Source organism: Homo sapiens, chromosome 13 (assembly GCF_000001405.40).
Source record: "Homo sapiens chromosome 13, GRCh38.p14 Primary Assembly".
Taxonomy (NCBI): domain Eukaryota; kingdom Metazoa; phylum Chordata; class Mammalia; order Primates; family Hominidae; genus Homo; species Homo sapiens.
The window spans coordinates 76,265,506-76,284,038 of NC_000013.11; the positions used below are offsets into that span (position 1 = coordinate 76,265,506).

At 36.8% G+C, this 18,533-nt stretch overlaps 2 long non-coding RNA genes across 2 annotated transcripts in view; one reads left to right on the forward strand and one right to left on the reverse strand.

Annotated features, from left to right (window-relative positions):
- Positions 1-5,399, reverse strand: part of LOC105370262 (uncharacterized) — a 41,390-nt gene extending 35,991 nt beyond the window's left edge. Inside the window, exon 1 of the long non-coding RNA XR_942093.3 lies at positions 5,325-5,399. This is a non-coding gene — a long non-coding RNA (uncharacterized LOC105370262). The remainder of the gene's footprint in view (positions 1-5,324) is intronic.
- Positions 1,990-15,762, forward strand: LOC105370261 (uncharacterized). The gene is made up of 3 exons (XR_942092.3): positions 1,990-2,105; positions 6,390-6,472; positions 15,458-15,762. It is a non-coding gene; the product is annotated as an uncharacterized LOC105370261 (long non-coding RNA).
- Positions 15,763-18,533: the final 2,771 nt, after the last annotated feature.

An 18,533-nucleotide genomic window follows, 5' to 3' on the forward strand; every position in this document is an offset into this window, starting at 1 on the left:
GATTTTTTATTTTTTTGGTAAGGAATCTGTCTGCCTACAGCTCGTTGGATTTTCTTAATGTATGTGTTTTGTTCAGCTAAAATAGTATCTCTTTTTACTTATTTTACCTGGAATATTTATAATCCTGTTTTAGATTTGCATAGGCTTTTTTCCAACTTAGATATTTTTTTCTTAGACTATGTGTTTTAGTATTCCTTCTATTCCAAATATTCATATTTCTCACTCTTCTCAATCTTCCTCAGAATGATGACTTTTTTCAGTTTTTTCCCTGGTCCTTTTAATTTGCCTTTAATAAGCAATAGTTTTTCATGTTATTTTTCTGATTTATGTATTTAGCTTTCCTTGGTTCATTGCAAATTTAAATTTAATATTGTATTATTAGTTTCCTTTTTGATTCTTCCTTATCTTTACTCTTCTCCTTTTAATTTTCTTATTTTCATTTCAGCTTATCTTTATTAACTTTCTGTTCATATTTCATTGAAATCATCATGTCTTCCTGTGTTTGAGGTAGCTGTCAAAAATGTAGTTATTAATTTGAACGTCTTTTCTAAATAATGTAGTTACATTGATTCTAATTATAAATAATGATTTTTCTCTTTCTTTTTTTTTTTACTGCAGAAAAAATTTATAGGCATAATCCCCCCTCCCCCCGCCCACACACAGACACACATTTAAATAAGTAAATGTCTATCCAGATTTGGCATTGCCAATAAACGGAAACCGCGGGCCATAGATTGTTTTTGGCCCCACTTTTTATTTACTTAAGAATTATGGTCACACTGAACTATCTAAACAGATGTGCATGGCTCCAAGCCAGTTACCATTGTGAATGGTAGTGTGTGTGTGTGTGTGTGTGTGTGTGTGTGTGTGTTTCCCCAGCTGAGATCTGCTAGAGCCTCTCCTACCCTCATGATCTGATTACCCATCACTGTGATTGTATGGTGCACATGAAAATGTTTAGTCTTGTTTATTCTCTTGCCTTCTTGCCTCTGCTAATACCTAGAGCACTTGACCTCAAAGAGATATATTTACCAGCACTCATTACCCGAATACAAATAAAAAGAGAAATACTGATGGGAAATACAGATGAGGGGACCCAAAATGCTGGACTTTGAAAACACAGCCCTAAGAGTATTGACACCGCTGGCCAATATATTAATTAACCTGAGTATTGAGTGAGTAAGAAATGCAAGATCAATTGACTTTTACATGGACAGCATATGATATTTCTGGCAGCATATAAAAGATGAGTCACCATTTGATTTAAGTTGATCTTGTCATTTGAAATTCTTTCCATATTATGAAAATACATTGCATGAAAATCTTACCTAATAGGGGTTTAGTGTGTGTCTGTATACTGATGTTATTGCTATTTTTGTCTATATATGTATTTTCAATGAAAAATAGAAGAGTCTGTGTTGGTGATTGATCATCAGATACCATATTAAATCAGAAATAGAGACTTTCATTTTAAGCAGGATAACAGGACTGCCACTACTCATATAAACATTATAGTGAGTCCTGCTCACTATAAATATTTACCTGATCTGCATGAATGGAAGGTCTTCATTTATCCTGTTATTCAGTTTAATTTAACAGATTTAATTTTTCACTTTGTCTTGTTTTGGCGCAGAGAGGAGGCGATAACTATAGTGAACTGTCTTTGCTTCATTAAGCATATTTACTTATCACTTATGACTTTCTTGTTTAAAAAGCAGCCATGCAGAGCACAGGGCTGTATTAACTATCATAAAGGAAGAATTAAAAAAGTGCTTGCAAGAAACTATGTTCCGTCTTCTTTGACATGGTTTCAGTATCTACTGTTCTTGCTTCAGCTTTCCACATATAGGAATTTCTATGTAGTATGGAAAAAGGAAGAATAGCATTCCAGTTATTTTTGGCTAGTATGTAACTTAATTGCATACCAGCTGAAAAAAAAAAACACGTGATTTCTGAATACCTTCTATAGCTATTCTGCTTCTTTCCTAGAAGGAGAAGGAGGAGGAAGGGGAGGAGAAAGACGAAGAGATGGAGGAAAACTGAAAATGGTTGCCTTGCTCTTCCTGCTTCCACCTCAAACCCTAAAATGACAGTTCTACAGATGAGTAAGTCTTGGTACAAATGAGCCTCTGCATTACAGAATAAGAATCCTATGATAAATTTGAATGGAAAATGACTTACATATTTTCACTTATTTTACATTCAAAAAGAATACAATTTGTTTTGTATTATTTGATATGTGTAAAGAAATCTGTTTTTGTAAATCCACAAAGATCCTTTGTAAATCCCTATGCAAACCTTCACTGTTGTCTCATTTCCGTATTTTTTATTTTTATTTTTATATATATTTTTTATTATACTTTAAGTTCTAGGGTACATGTGCACAACGTGCAGGTTTGTTACATATGTATACATGTGCCATGTTGGTGTGCTGCACCCATCAACTCGTCATTTACATTAGGTATATCTCCTAATGCTATCCCTCGCCCCACCCCCCACCCCACAACAGGCCATGGTGTGTGATGTTCCCCTTCCTGTGTCCAAGTGTTCTCATTGTTCGATTCCCACCTATGAGTGAGAACATGCGGTGTTTGGTTTTTTGTCCTTGCAATAGTTTGCTGAGAATGATGGTTTCCAGCTTCATCCATGTCCCTACAAAGGACATGAACTCATCCTTTTTTATGGCTGCATAGTATTCCATGGTGTATATGTGCCACATTTTCTTAATCCAGTCTATCATTGTTGGACATTTGGCTTGGTTCCAAGTCTTTGCTATTGTGAATAGTGCCACAATAAACATACATGTGCATGTGTCTTTATAGCAGCAGGATTTATATTCGTTTGGGTATATACCCAGTAATGGGATGGCTGGGTCAAATGGTATTTCTAGTTCTAGATCCCTGAGGAATCGTCACACTGACTTCCACAATGGTTGAACTACTTTACAGACCCACCAACAGTGTAAAAGTGTTCCTATTTCTCCACAACCTCTCCAGCACCTGTTGCTTCCTGACTTTTGAATGATCGCCATTCTAACTGGTGTGAGATGGTATCTCATTGTGGTTTTGATTTGCATTTCTCTGATGGCCAGTGATGATGAGCATTTTTTCGTGTGTCTGTTGGCTGCATAAATGTCTTCTTTTGAGAAGTGTCTATTCATATCCTTTGCCCACTTTTTAATGGGGTTGTTTTTTTCTTGTAAATTTGTTTGAGTTCTTTGTGGATTCTGGATATTAGTCCTTTGTCAGATGAGTAGATTGAAAAAATTTTCTCCCATTCTGTAGGTTGCCTGTTCACTCTGATGGCAGTTTCTTTTGCTGTGCAGAAGCTCTTTAGTTTAATTCGATCCCATTTGTTAATTTTGGCTTGTGTTGCCATTGCTTTTGGTGTTTTAGACATGAAGTCCTTGCCCATGCCTATGTCCTGAATGGTATTGCCTAGGTTTTCTTCTAGGGGTTTTATGGTTTAGGTCTAACATTTAAGTCTTTAATCCATCTTGAGTTAATTTTTGTATAAGGTGTAAGGAAGGAATCCAGTTTCAGCTTTCTACATATGGCTAGCCAGTTTTCCCAGCTCCATTTGTTAAATAGGGAATCCTTTCCCCATTTCTTGTTTTTGTCAGGTTTGTCAAAGATCAGATAGTTGTAGGTGTGTGGTATTATTTCTGAGAGCATTCCACGCTCATGGATAGGAAGAATCAATATCGTGAAAATGGACATACTGCCCAAGGTAATTTATAGATTTAATGCCATTCCCATCAAGCTACCAATGACTTTCTTCATAGAATTGGAAAAAACTACTTCAAAGTTCATATGGAACCAAAAAAGAGCCCTCATTGCCAAGTCAATCCTAAGCCAAAAGAACAAAGCTGGAGGCATCACGCTACCTGACTTCAAACTATACTACAAGCCTACAGTAACCAAAACAGCATGGTACTGGTACCAAAACAGAGATATAGACCAATGGAACAGATCATTTCCGTGTTTTTTTTATTTGCTTGGCTCAGAAGCACATCTTGCCTTTTCCTATACAAAGGTGCTAGTGCATGAAGACTCTCTAAAGACAAATCATTAATGAATCACATGAATAAATTTGATTGGAAGAAATTCTATTTCTTTCCTTGCTTTCCAATACTGATTGATGGAAGCTATAAGATGTGCACATGCTAACTACAGATATTTTGCAAAGGCTGTGCATTAGACATGACTCATGTATATGCTGAGTAGTGTAGGCTGAGAAAATTTGGAACAGTGCATTTTTCTTTTTTTTTTCTTTTTCTGTTTTGTTTAATTGTATCATACATATTTAAAGCATATAATATGTCTTTACCTTTGAAAAATGCACTACTATATTATAGCGCATATTTTTCAAAGGTAAAGAGCTTGAGCTTAGTAATTTAAATCACATTACATGATATCTAATATCACGTGTATTTTTCTTATATCCATGGGCACTATGTAAAATTTAAAAAATGAAGGGAGTATGAAAAAGGGTATCAGGATTGAATTACACCAGGGAAATAGAGATATTTCAATCTTCACAACTAATTTTCAAACGGTTCTTTTGTGCTAGAAATTGTGCCTGACCCAGAGTAGATGAAAGTTACCAAAATAAACAACCTTTTGAGGGAAACAAATATAAAAAAAAAATCCCACCAAATACCTTCAATTAGTACTACAATGAATGTTGTAAAGCAAAATATAGGATATTTAGGCAGGCTATATCAAAGAAAACTCATCTAGGACATCTAATGCTTACTTCTGAGGTAGTGCATTAATTTAAAGTGAGAAGTAAAAGAAGAGATGGGAGTTACAGTGAGCATCTTAATGAGAAGGTATGATGGTGAGTGTAAGAAGACTCTGAGGTGGGAAAGAGTCCCAGTACATTTGAATGAAGTGCTTGATAGCTGTGTTAGTCAGTGTTCTTCAGAGAAATAGAACCAACAGGAAATATACATATAGATATATAAGATTTATTACGGGAATTGACTTATGCAATTATGGAGGCCAAGAAGTCCCACAGTATGTCACCTGGCAAGCTGGAGAAACAGGAAACCTGACTGTATGATTTAGTCTCAGTTAGAATGCCTGAGAACTAGGGGAGTTAATGGAGAAACTCCCAGTCTGATGCTGAAGGCACAAGAATTGAGGAAGAGGTGGGGGAGGAAGGGTTAAGTCTCAGAGTCAGAACGCATGAAAACCAGGAGCTCCAATGAGGAAGGGAAAAGAGAAAATGGATGTTCCAGCTCAAGGAGAGAGAGAGTAATTTGACTTTCCTACACCTTTTGGTTCTATCCAAGCCTTGATGGATTGTATGATACTCACCTACATTGTTTAGGGCAGATCTTCTTTACTCAGTCTACTGATTCAAATATTAATCTTTTCCAGAAACACCTTCACAGTCACACCCGGAAATAATGTTTTACCCACTATCTGGGCATCATTTAACTCAGTCAAATTGTTACATGAAACTAAGCATCACAATGGAAGTATGGTGAAAAATGAGATTTATATCTCGGGGAGGACCTAGCTTATACTTAATCTTCTGGTTATGTTAAGGCTTTTATTATTATTATACTTTAAGTTCTAGGGTACATGTGCACAACGTGCGGGTTTGTTACATATGTATACATGTGCCGTGTTGGTGTGCTGCACCCACCAACTCGTCATTTACATTAGGTATTTCTCCTAATGCTATCCCTCCCTCCATCCCCAGACAGGCCCTGGTGTGTGATGTTCCCCTTCCTGTGTCCAAGTGTTCTCATTGTTCAATTCCCACCTATGAGTGAGAACATGCGGTGTTTGGTTTTTTGTCCTTGTGATAGGTTGCTGAGAATGATGGTTTCCAGCTTCATCCATGTCCCTACAAAGGACATGAACTCATGCTTTTTTGTGGCTGCATAGTATTCCACAGTGTATATGTGCCACATTTTCTTAAGGCTTTTGAACAAACCTAAGAGCAATGGATTCTGCTGCAGGTAAAGAGGAGTTGAAAATGAGGTATAGCTAGAATCATGAACATACATAGGGAAGTTAGAAATTTATTAATGTAATTTTAATCAAGAGATGATGACTTGTACTTAGTTGGTGACAATAAGAGGGAAAACATAAATTAAAAAGCTGATAACAGGAAGATATAAAACTTTGGTCTTAAAACTGTTTCATTTTCTCCTATAAATGTAGAATTGTTGATTTTGTTAAAGGTCAGGCGTCCTAGTTATCATCTGATTCTGCCTCCTCATTTTACAGATAAAAACAGAGTTTTCCAGTTCATACAAGAGTCTGGGGACAGGGGATAGAAAAAAATGGAGGAAGGAGGCAGGACTAACTTGCAGCTCCAACTTGATGGACAGAGCATCATGTGGAGACTTACATTGTGACCTTTTGCAGGAACATACCAGGGAAGCTGAGAGAATCCACAAACCCTTTGAAGGAAGTGGCTTGCTGCTGCAGAGTGGGACAGCAGAGGAACTGTGAGTCGGCTTGCTTTCTCAGCTGGGAGGCTTGTAGCCTGAGGCAAGTTCTCAGCCCTGCTCACTGGCTGCCTGGAAATAAACCAGGTGCTGTTGGAGGGGCAAGATGGGAGTGAGACAGGCCTTTCAGGCTGTGGGCTATGTGGGAGCGGGTGAGGCCTATGGCTACTGGCTTTCCCCCACTTCCCTGGTGACCTGTGTGATGCAGTAAAGGCAGCCATAATCCCCCTGGGAACACAACTCTATTGGCATGGGAACCACACTTCCATCCTCCACAGAAGCCACAGCAAGTCCCCCCGAGAGTCTGAGCTCAGACACACCTAACCCTGTCCTCACCTGTTGATCTTTCTCTGCCTACCCTCGTGGCCGAAGACAAAGGACTTAATCTCTTGGGAGCTCTGTGGCCCCACCCACTGCCTGATCCTCTTTATATTACCACAGCTGATATGCTTTTGAAACTGCCACCTCCTGGCTGGAGGCCAACTAACAGAAGACCAGTGCACCAAACAAAAATACAACCAAGGACCCTCACAGAGTCCACTTCACCCCACTGCTACCTCCACCAAAGCAACTGCTGGTATCCACAGCTCAGAGACCTGAAGATGGATCACATCACAAGACTCTTTGCAGACACTCCCCAGTACCAGCCCATAACCAAGTAGGTCCATTGGGTGGCTAGATCCAGAAGACAAATAAAAATCACTGCAGTTCAGCTCTCAGGAAGCCCCATCCCTAGGAGAAGGGAGAGAGCATCACATCAAGGGAGAACCCCATGGGACAAAAGAATCTGAACAGCAGTCCTTGAGTCCCAGATATTCCTTCCGACATAGTCCACGCAAATGAGAAGGAACCAGAACAACAATTATTCTAATATGACAAACAAGGTTCTTTAACACCCCCAAAAGATCATACTAGCTCACCAGCAATGGCTCCAAACCAAGACAAAAATCTCTGAATTGCCAGAAAAAGTATTCAAGCTGATGATTAAGCTAATCAAGGAGGCACCAGAGAAAGGTGAAGTCCAACTTAAAGCAATGAAAAAAATGATATAGGATATGAATGGAAAATCTCCAGTGAAACAGATAGCATAAATAAAAAATCACAACTTCTGGAAATCAAGGACACACTTAGAGAAATGCAAAATGCACTGGAAAGTCTCAGCAATAGAATCAAACAAGTAGAAGAAAGAACTTCAGAGCTCAAAGACAAGGTTTTCAAATTAAACCAATCCAAAAAAAAGACAAAAAAATTAAAAAGTTGAACAAAACCTCCAAGAAATTGGGATTATGACCAAATGACCAAATCTACAAATAATTGGTATTCCCAAGGAAGAAGGTAAATCTAAAAGTTTGAAAAACATGTTTGCGGGAATAATCAGTGAAAACTCCTGGCCTTGCTAGAGATCTAGACTAAATGCAAGAGGCTCAAAGAACATCTGGGAAATTTATCACAAAAAGATAATTGCCTAGGCATGTAGTCATCAGGTTAACTAAAGTCAAGACGAAGGAAAGAATCTTAAGAGCTGTGAGGCAAAAGCATCAAGTAACTTATTAAGGAAAACCTATCAGATTAACAGCAGATTTCTCAGCAGAAATCCTACAAGCTAGGAGTGATTGGGGTCCTATCTTTATCCTCCTTAAAACAATTGTCAGCCAGTTTTAACTGACAATTGTCAGCCACTGGATACAATTTTGTATCCAGTGAAACTAAGCTTCATAAATGATGGAAAGATACAGTCTTTTTCAGACAAACAAATCCTGAGAGAATTTGCCACTACCAAGCTAGCACTATAAGAACTGCTAAAAGCAGCTCTAAATCTTGAAACAAATCCTAGAAATACACCAAAATAGAATCTCCTTAAAGCATAAATCTCACAGGACCTATTCAGGCAACAAATAGCATGATGAATAGAATAGTACCGCACATCTCAATACTAACATTGAATGTAAATGGCCTAAATGCTTCACTTAAAAGATACAGAATGGCAGAAGGGATAAGAATTCACCAACCAAGTATCTGCTGTCTTCAAGACTTCCCTGATACATAAGGACTCACATAAACCTAAGGTAAAGGGGTGGAAAAAGATATTCCATGCAAACAGACACCAAAAGCAAGCAGAAGTAGCTATTCTTACATCAGACAAAACAAACTTTAAAGCAACAGCAGTTAAAAAAGTCAAAGAGGAATATCATATATTGATAAAATATATCAATTTTCCTATTGGACTAGTAAAATAGGACAGTAACACAATAATAGCAGGGGACTTCAGTACTCCACTGATAGCACCAGACAGGTCATCAAGACAAAGTCAACAAAGAAACAATGGACTTAAACTATACCCTAGAACAAATGGACTTAACAGATATTTACAGAACATTCTACCCAACAACTTCAGAATATACATTCTATTCATCAACACATGGAACATTCTTCAAGATAGACAATATCATAGGCACAAAACAGGTCTCAACAAATTTAAGAAAATCGAAATTATATCAAGTACTCTCTCAGATCACAATGGAATAAAATTGGAAATCAACTCGAAAAGGAACCCTCAAAACTATGCAAATACTTGGAAATTAAATAACCTGTTCCTGAATTATCATTGGGTCAACAATGAAATCAATTTGAAAATTAAAAAAAAATTATTTGAACAGAATAATAGGGACAAAACCTATAAAAAACATCTGGGATACAGCAAAAGCAGTGCCAAGAAGAAAGTTCATAGCATTAAATGCCTACATCAAAAAGTCTGAAAGAGCACAAATAGTCTAAAGTCACACCTCAAGGAACTAGAGAAATAAGAACAAACCAAACGCAAATCCAGCAGAAGAAAAGAAATAACTAAGATCAGAGCTGAACTAAATGAAATTGAAAAAAATACAAAAGATAAATGAAATGAAAAGCTAGTTATTGAAAAGATACATAAACTTGATAAATCATTAGTGAAATTAACAAGAAAAAAGAGAGGGTCCAAATAATCTCAATTAGAAATGAAACAGTTGATATTAAAACCAATACAATGGCAATACAAACGATCATTTAAGGCTACTATGAATACCTTTACACGCATTAACTAGAAAACGTAGAGGAGATGGATAAATTCTTGGAAATATACAACTCTCCTAGATTAAACCAGGAAGAAATAGAGACTCTGAACAAACCAATAACAAGCGGCAAGATTGAAATGGTAATTTAAAACTTGCCAACAATAAAAAACTCCAGTACCAGATGGATTCATAGCTGAATTCTATCAGACATTCAAAGATGAATTGGTACCAATCCTATCGACAGTATTCCAAAAGAGAAAGAGGGAATCCTCCCTAGAACTTTCTGTGAAGCCACTGTCACCCTAATACTAAAACCAGGATAGGATATAAGAAAGAAAACTACAGACCAGTATCCCTGATGAACATTGATATACAAATCCTCAACAAAATACTAGCTAACTGAATCCAACAGTATATCAAAAAGATAATCCACCATGATCAACTGGGTTTCATACCAGGGATGTGGGGATGGTTTAACATACACGAGTCAATAAATGTGGTACACCACAGAAACGGAATTAAAAACAAAAATCACATGATCATCTCAATAGGTACAGAAAAAGCATTTGACAAAATTCAGCATCACTTTATGATTAAAACCCTCAGCAAAATTGGCATAGAAGGGACATATCTTAAGAGTAAACAGACAACCCAGAGAGTGAGAGAAAATTATAGCAATCTGTGCTTCTGACAAAGGACTAATATCCAGAATCTACAAGGGACTCATACAAATTAGCAAGAAAAGAAGCAATCCCATCAAAAAGTGGGCTAAGGACATGAATAGACAATACAAATAATATACAAGTGGCCAACAAAAATATTAAAAAATATTAAACATCATGATTGATCAAGGAAATGCAAATCAAAACCACAATGTGATAGCAAGAGTGGCCATAATAAAAAAATAGATGCTGGTGTGGATGTGGTGAAAAGGGAACACTTTTACACTGTTGGTTGGAATGGAAACTAGTACATCCACTATGGAAAACAGTGTGGAGATTTCTTAAGTAACTAAAAGTAGATCTACCATTTGATCCAGCAATCCTACTCCTGGGTATCTACCCAGAGCAAAAGAAGTCATTATACAAAAAAGGTACTTGCACACACGTTCATAGCAGTACAATTCACAATTGCAAAAATGTGGAATGAGCCCAAATGCCCATCAATCAACAAGCAGATAAAGAAAATGTGATATGTATATTTTATATATATATATATATATATATATATATATATATATATATATATATATGATGGAATACTACTCAGCCATAAAAGGAATGAAATAATGGCATTTGCAGCAACGTCTATGGAATTGGAGACCATTAGTCTAACTGAAACAACTCAGGAATGGAAAACCAAACATCGTATGTTCTCACTCATAAGTAGGAGCTAAGCTATGGGGACGTGAAGGCATGAGAATGATAAAATGGACTTTGGGGACTCTGGGAAAAGGGTGGGTGTAGTGAGGGATAAGACTACATATTGGGTACAGTGTACACTGCTTGGGTGATGGGTGCACTAAAATATCAGAAATCCCCACTAAATAACTTATTCATGTAATCAAATACCACCTGTTCCCCAAAAACCTATTGAAATAAGTAAATAAATAAATAAAAGAAATTTTAAAACAAAAACAAAGAGTTTGGGAACAGAATTGGGAACAAAATCTAGAATCTATGAAGTGTTTATTTTTATATAATATTTATTATTACAGAATTATAATTCTAAAGGCATTCTAGTATTTAACTTTATATGAATTATATAAAATTGTTGTTTTATATGAACTATATAAAATACTTGTGTTTTATATGAACTATATAAAATGTATTATATATGAATTATATAGTTGTATTTTATATGAACTATATAAAATAGTTATGTTTTATATGAATTAATATAAAATAGCTATATTTTATATAAATATTAGGAGCATTTATGAAGCACTGAAGTAGACATGAGTATTTTTGGATGCTCTACTGCAGAGAAGGCAGGATTTTAATATTCTGGTAGTGTTTTCACCGTGACAGGTTGCCTCAAATCAAAGATGAAATCTTAGGACTCAGAATCTCAGGCTTTGGGGGAATCAAGATGTCAGTGTTAAAATGCTCATCTTCTACTGCTTACGCTTCCATTATCACAAACAGGTTGAATTTAAGGACCGTAGGAGCACGCATTTACTAAATTTTCTTCTAATGTACCTGCCAGAGAGATGACTGGAGGATTTTAGGATCCATTTTGATACTCACTTTCTTTATCTGCATTCTAAAATTTAATTAGCCAACATATCTGCTGAATCGATGTGGCGAAATTCAAGACTTGGGCCACTTGATTTTGACTTTTGGAAAGAGTCTCTGGGAGTAAGCAGTGTTAGAAGCAGATGCATTTTACTTGAATTTCTCTCTTACCTCCAGAAACAAGCCTCGGTAAATAGAAATACAATTCAAGAAATGTGCTGAATAATGGTAAATGTGGATCAAACTATCACCTGCCAAGAAAGACCTTGTAATTAAATTAGTAGAAGCGACAGAATTTGTGGAACTTAAATTTAACAATTTCTGTGTGCTCAGTTTGCCAAACTCAGCACTCTGCTTGGGCATCTTACTTATTGGTCTTCGACCTAGGATGGTAGCATAAAAATTACCTCATCATTCAATTTGAAAAATCTGATTGACCTATCCATTTAGGTAGGATGACTCCTGCCTTAGAATTAACCATGGATAGCCCTTCTAGATAAGTTTTGACTGGGGTAGCACCTTTAACTCATATATTTCTCATACCACATTTAATTTCAAGGTATTTTGATGGGGGCAAAAGGATTCAGATCATATGTGTGACTAAATTTTTAAAAGGCTAAACATTGCCACAGGACTGTGACACTAGAGACACTAAGAGCAAAACAGAAATTACAGACTTACACTTCAAATATCTTCTCCTACAGCTCTGTATTTTATAACGGGTCAGGCTCTCTGGTGTGAATGGGTCCTGGCTCCACCCTGCCTAGTCAGTGTCATTTGTAATGGCCCAACATCCTTAACAACTTGCATACTTGTGGAACACAATTGCAGTGTCTAGTAGGGGCAGCAGTGTTGCTGACCTGGTTACCAACAGTTATTGAGATTTGATTCAACAGTGGATATGTGGGCTGGTAAGTGCAATATAGATGGCAGGACACGATCTAGGCAGCTAGAAGGCAAGTCTGTGAACATTCTACCTTCTCCATTGGCCCAACCTGAAACTTGTACAGTAGCCAATGGTGAATATACTATTGATAGTATTTCATACTTTGAGAGATCTACAACTGTTTTCAATCTTTGGTTTATCTTTGGTGAAGAGGTTAGAATAGTCACATCTCCATTTCTTTTGTTGAGTGTTTTGATTTCAGAGACTGAGTTCAAATGTAAACATGGAAATAGATTGACTACTTAGGCTGAGATAAGCGATCTTACATTTTTTGGCAGAGATCCTCTAGTGTCCTGGGTAATCCATTAGTGCAATACCAGGAAATGCTTCTCGGGGTAGAACTTAGAAAGGACTTAAATCCACAGGCAATAAGGGAATGTGACCCAACTTCGCTGTTATCATCTATGTCTAACAATCCAGATAAATACAGTTCCGGTATGGCCATACAGTGGATCTTCCAAGATTGGGGCTGAGCACAGGGCTTATCATTGTGGTGCTAGCAGTTTCCCTGACTCTGACACCTCAGGGCAACCAAAAAGAGATAACTTCCCATTTTCGCACTACTACCTATCCCTCTCCACTGAGCAGGATAAAGGAAGAAGTAGATGTAATCAAAGCACTTTTGGAAAGGTTGGAAATTTGTTAGGGTTTGACAGTGTAACTATAGGCATTCAATTCCCCAAATGTTTATGGTTTTTGTATATATGTTATTTTACATATATGTTATGTTACGTTTATATTATATGTCATGTATATGTTATTTTTCTCCAACTTTTACAGATCACTTTTATCCAGGACCACTAAGAAATAAATTTATTAGAGGCCAGGTGCAGTGGCTCACACCTGTAATCAGCACTTTGGGAGGCTGAGGCAGGTGGAAAACTTGAGGCCAGGTGTTAGAGACCAGCCTGGCCAACATGGTGAACCCCTGTCTCTACTAAAAATTCAAAAATTAGCCTGGTGTGGTGACACACACCTTAATCCCAACTACTCAGGAGGCTGTGTAAGGAGAATTGCCTGAACCTGGGAGGCAGAGGTAGGAGTGAGCCAAGGTCACACCATGCCACTCCAGTCTGAGCAACAGAGCAAGACTCTACTCGGTCAAAGAGAGAGAAAGAAAGAGGGAGGGAAGGAAAGAAATGTATTAGAGAACAAGAGGGAAGCACCCTGTACAGAGTATTATAGGGAAAAGAACAAGAGGGCATAAAGGCCTGAGTCTACACAGACCAACACCTTGACCCAGGACAAAACCATTTACATACTGATATCTTAGTGTCTCCATCTGCTAAATGTTTCAGCTGGCCAACAGTAGCAGCCATTAATACCTTTAAAAATAGGTAATTCTATATTCGTGGCTTTGTTTTTCAACCAGCTTATTTTCTTTCTTGGAGACATTAATCATGGTTTTTAAGAATTTATTTCATAGTATTGTATAATGAGCCTCTGCACAACAAAGAAACTATCAACAGAGTAAACAATTTATGGAATGGGAGAAAATTTTTACAAACTATGCATTCAACAATGGACAGTATCCAAAATCCATAAGGAATTCAGACAAATAAGAAAACAACCCAAATAACCTCATAGGCAATGGACATGAACAGACACTTCTCAAAAGAAGACATACAAGCAAGCAGCCAACAAACGTGAAAAAATGCTCAACATGGTTAATCATCAGAGAGATGCAAATCAAAACCACAATGAGATACCATCTCACACCAGTCAGAATGGCTATTATTAAAAAGTCAAAATATGCAGATGTTGGTGAAGTTGAAAATAAAAGGGAACACTTTATACACTGTTGGTGGGAATGCAAATTAGTTCAGCTGCTGTGGAAAGCAGTCTGGAGATTTCTCAAAGAACTAAAAATAGAATTACCATTCAACCTAGTCATCCCATTACTGGGTATACAACCAAAGGAAAATAAATCATTCTACCAAAAAGACACATGTACTCATGTAGTCATTGCAGCATTATTCACAATAGCAAAGACATGGAATCCACCTAGGTGCCCATCAGTGATGGACTGGATAAAGAAAATGTGCTACATATACACCACGGAATACTATGCAGCCATAAAAAAGAATAAAATCATGGTCTTTGCAGCAACATGGATGCAGCTGAAGGTCACCATCCTAAGCGAATTAATGCAGAAACAGAAAGCCAAATAGCACATGTTCTTACTTACAAGTGGGAGTCAATCACTGGGCACACAGGGACACAGATGGGAAAATAGACACCAGAGCTTCCAAAAGAGGGAGAGAAAGAGGGGGCCAAAGGTTGAAAATCTACCCATCAAGTACTATGTTTGCAACTTGGGTGAACAGATCACTAGAAACCCAAACCTCAGCATCATGTAATATACCCATATAACAAACCTGCACATGTACTCCCTGAATCTAAATATATGAAAGGAAAAAACAGTACAGCAGCAGTAAATACTAAGATGTGCCACCTAGATTCTCCTTCAGGAATAAAGTACATATCGCCGCAGTTTCTGAGTGTGCCACTGGCATCCAGACCTCAGCTATCAGCCCTCTTCTGAATTGCCTCTGCTGAGGAGTGCTATCTTGCCCAAGGTCATAACTACTGGACATAAGAATGTAAAGGCTCTGTCTTCTCCTTTAATTCTTAAAAACTGTTAAGGACCACCCTTGATTCAATATGGTTGGCTAACGGCCTTCGTTGTGACTGCATCACAGCCCAACATCTTCCTCTGCCAAATCCTGCCTCTTTCTCTTCATTTCCACAGGTGTTGATCCCAAGAGTGCTTCCTAAGAATCCTCCTCCATGTTAACTTTCATCCTAGAGTCTGCTTCACTGATTGCCCAACTTGCAACAGAAAGTAGTAATATCTCTGCTTTTGTATTGTTTCATGCACTACTCATCTAAGGTTCTAGGACAGTGTTCTCTCTCGTTTCCAATAATAAAATTCTTCTGATTGTCCTGGGGAGTATTTTTGATGTGCATTTTATAGTCTCTCATGCAGCAAAAACCCAAGTGAAATAGCTATCTACACTTTGTAGATTCATTAAATGCATTGGATACACAACGAAATTGAGCTTCTTATTTATGGTTTCCTTCAATAAATGTGGTTTTAAAAATTCCTTGTTTGTGAATAATTTAAGTTCACTGAAAGGAGTTTGACGGGTTATTTAAATTGAACGTTGTGGAGAAATAGTATTATTTTAATTGCTAGATGTTTTAGCCATTCTGTGAAATCTCTTTATTCATGGAAATAGCATAATTTTTTATTTTGAAAAAGTGTATTTCAGCCTGCGAAACATGGTGAAACCTTGTCTCTACAAAATATAGAAAAATTAGCCAGGCATGGTGGAGCCCCTGTCATCCCAGCTACTTGGGGGGCTAAGGCAGGAAGATCACTTGCACCCAGGAGGTTGAGGCTACAGTGAGCCGTGTTCCCACCACTTCACTCCAGTCTGGGTAACCAAGTGAGAGAGCCTGTCTCAAAAAAAAAAAAAAAATTAAGTGCATTATTAAAAAGAAAGCTATTTCACTATTTTTACTTCAAAAAGAGGATCTGAAAAGAGAATGATAGACATTGTCAAATAACGTTGGCTTACAATATTCAACATTAAGTGAAAAGTGTGTAAAAAAACTGCAAAAAGATGGATGCTACACAGAAGAGTTATTTCCCATCGAAAGTCTCTAAAGAACACTTTAGGGATAACTTAATGATATCTCAATATGAGAAAAGGAAAAAAAATGGGCCATTGAGACATTCATTGTGAAAAACATCAAATATTTTTATAAATAATATTTACCTATCATTTTAATTTTATGTAACAAAAAATACAAATTTAGTATTATCTAAACTAGGGATGGGGTAGTTTTATTTTAACGCAAACATTAATATTGAGGCAGCTCACCCCACCAACCTGATTTCTGGAAGTCTGATATAATCATTTGGTATCAAATCTACTTATCTCAGTGGTCTCGGGAACAGGGCAATTGTACTCAGGAATTGATGAATTACAGGGAAACGTAAGGATCAAAGAAGCACAAACAAGACCAACTTCATGGCCCACCTGCATTATTTTGTTGCAGTGAAATTTTGCATAGAAAACATGTTGCCCTGTATCACATTCCTAGGTTTCAGGAGCTTATGAATATGTATTATAAACCAAATGAAGAAATAAATCATCTAAACATAAACAGAAAAAGATAATGGAAACTAATATGCATTGCTTATCTGGCACAGTTCTAGATACTTTTCCCTTAATTAATATCCATAGACCCCATAAGAGGCTTAAATTATTAAGCGTACTTTGCAAAGAAATTAGTAACTTAGCCAACATCATACAGTTAATAAAAGAAGGAGTCAAGATTCAAAGCAAGATCAGTGAGGCTCCAAAGTCCATTTACATTTGTTTGTTTGTTTGTTTGTTAATTTTTTATTTCCATAGGTTTTTGGAGAACAAGTGGTATTTGGTTACATGAGTAACTTATTTAGTGGAGATTTGTGAGATTTTGGTGCACCCATTATCACTCGAGCAGTATATACTGAACCCAATTTGTAGTCTTTTATCCTTCACCCCCATTTGGATTCTTACCATCACACAAGTAGGAATGATTATGTGCACCTGTGTACTATCCTGGGGTCTCCATGCCCCTCATAATCTTTCTCCTCTTTCTTGTTCAGCCCTTCCCTGCTACTTTTTGTGTATCTCATTTGTTTGCTTATTTAATGAAGGCAAGGTATCTTAACTCCTTATGAATAACAAGAATGTTTGAGGTAAGAAAGATGTGTAAGTTAATTGCTTCTTATTGTGAGAACAATACAGGTTGAGTATCCCTTATCCAAAATAGTTGGGACCAGAATTGTTTTGGGTTTCATTTATTTTCGGATTTTGGAATATTTGCATAAACACAATGAGGTCTCTTGGGGATGGGACCTAAGTTCATTTAAGTTTTATATACACTTCGTACACATAGTCTGAAGGTAAGTTTATACAATATTTTAAATAATTGTATGTGTTAAAACAAAGTTTTTGCTATGTTTTGACTGTGACCTGTCACATGAGGTCAGGTGTGGTGCATTTCAAATTTGGGATTTTCAGATTAGGAATGCTTAACCTGTAGTGCTATTACAAAAATTTAACTTCAACTCATCTAAGCTCCTCTGTCTTTTTCAAATAGCCAATAATTGAGTTGTAGAGGACTATGTAAATTACAATAAGCAAAAGTTGAACTCATTACATACGCTTGGTGTGCTTGTATAAATAAACCTATCACAAATAAAGTCATTTACCATATTTCTGGGATGACTATTATGAAAAATGTGTGCAGTTTTCAAGAGACTTAAAATTATTTTTAACAATCCAAAAGAAAAAAAAATGTGATGCATATAGGTCAATGGTTATTAGCCATGGTGAAGTTGTCCCCTATGGGACAGTTGGCAATGTCTGGAGACATTTTTGGTTCTTACAGTTCTATAGGGTGCTATCAGTACCCAATCCACAGCATCTAGGGCTGCTGTTATATATCTTACCATGCACAGGACAGCACTCCTCTGCCCCACAACAAAAACTTATTTAGCCCAAAATGTCAATAGTGGTGTTATTGAGAAATGCTGTTCTAGGTGACATGCAAGTTTTAAGAAATGGGATCGATCTTTCTCTTGTCATAAAATCAAAAATTATGGAATATTTATTTTCCTGCCTCAATCTGTTATACCTTTAATAGTTATTTTATCATGAATTTTGCCTAATATTTATTTTAAAAATATTTTATAAAAATATTGCTGATTTTGTCTATTGAGTTTTGTGGTGCCAGGGCATATAAGTCTCAGGTATTCCACCGTGGTC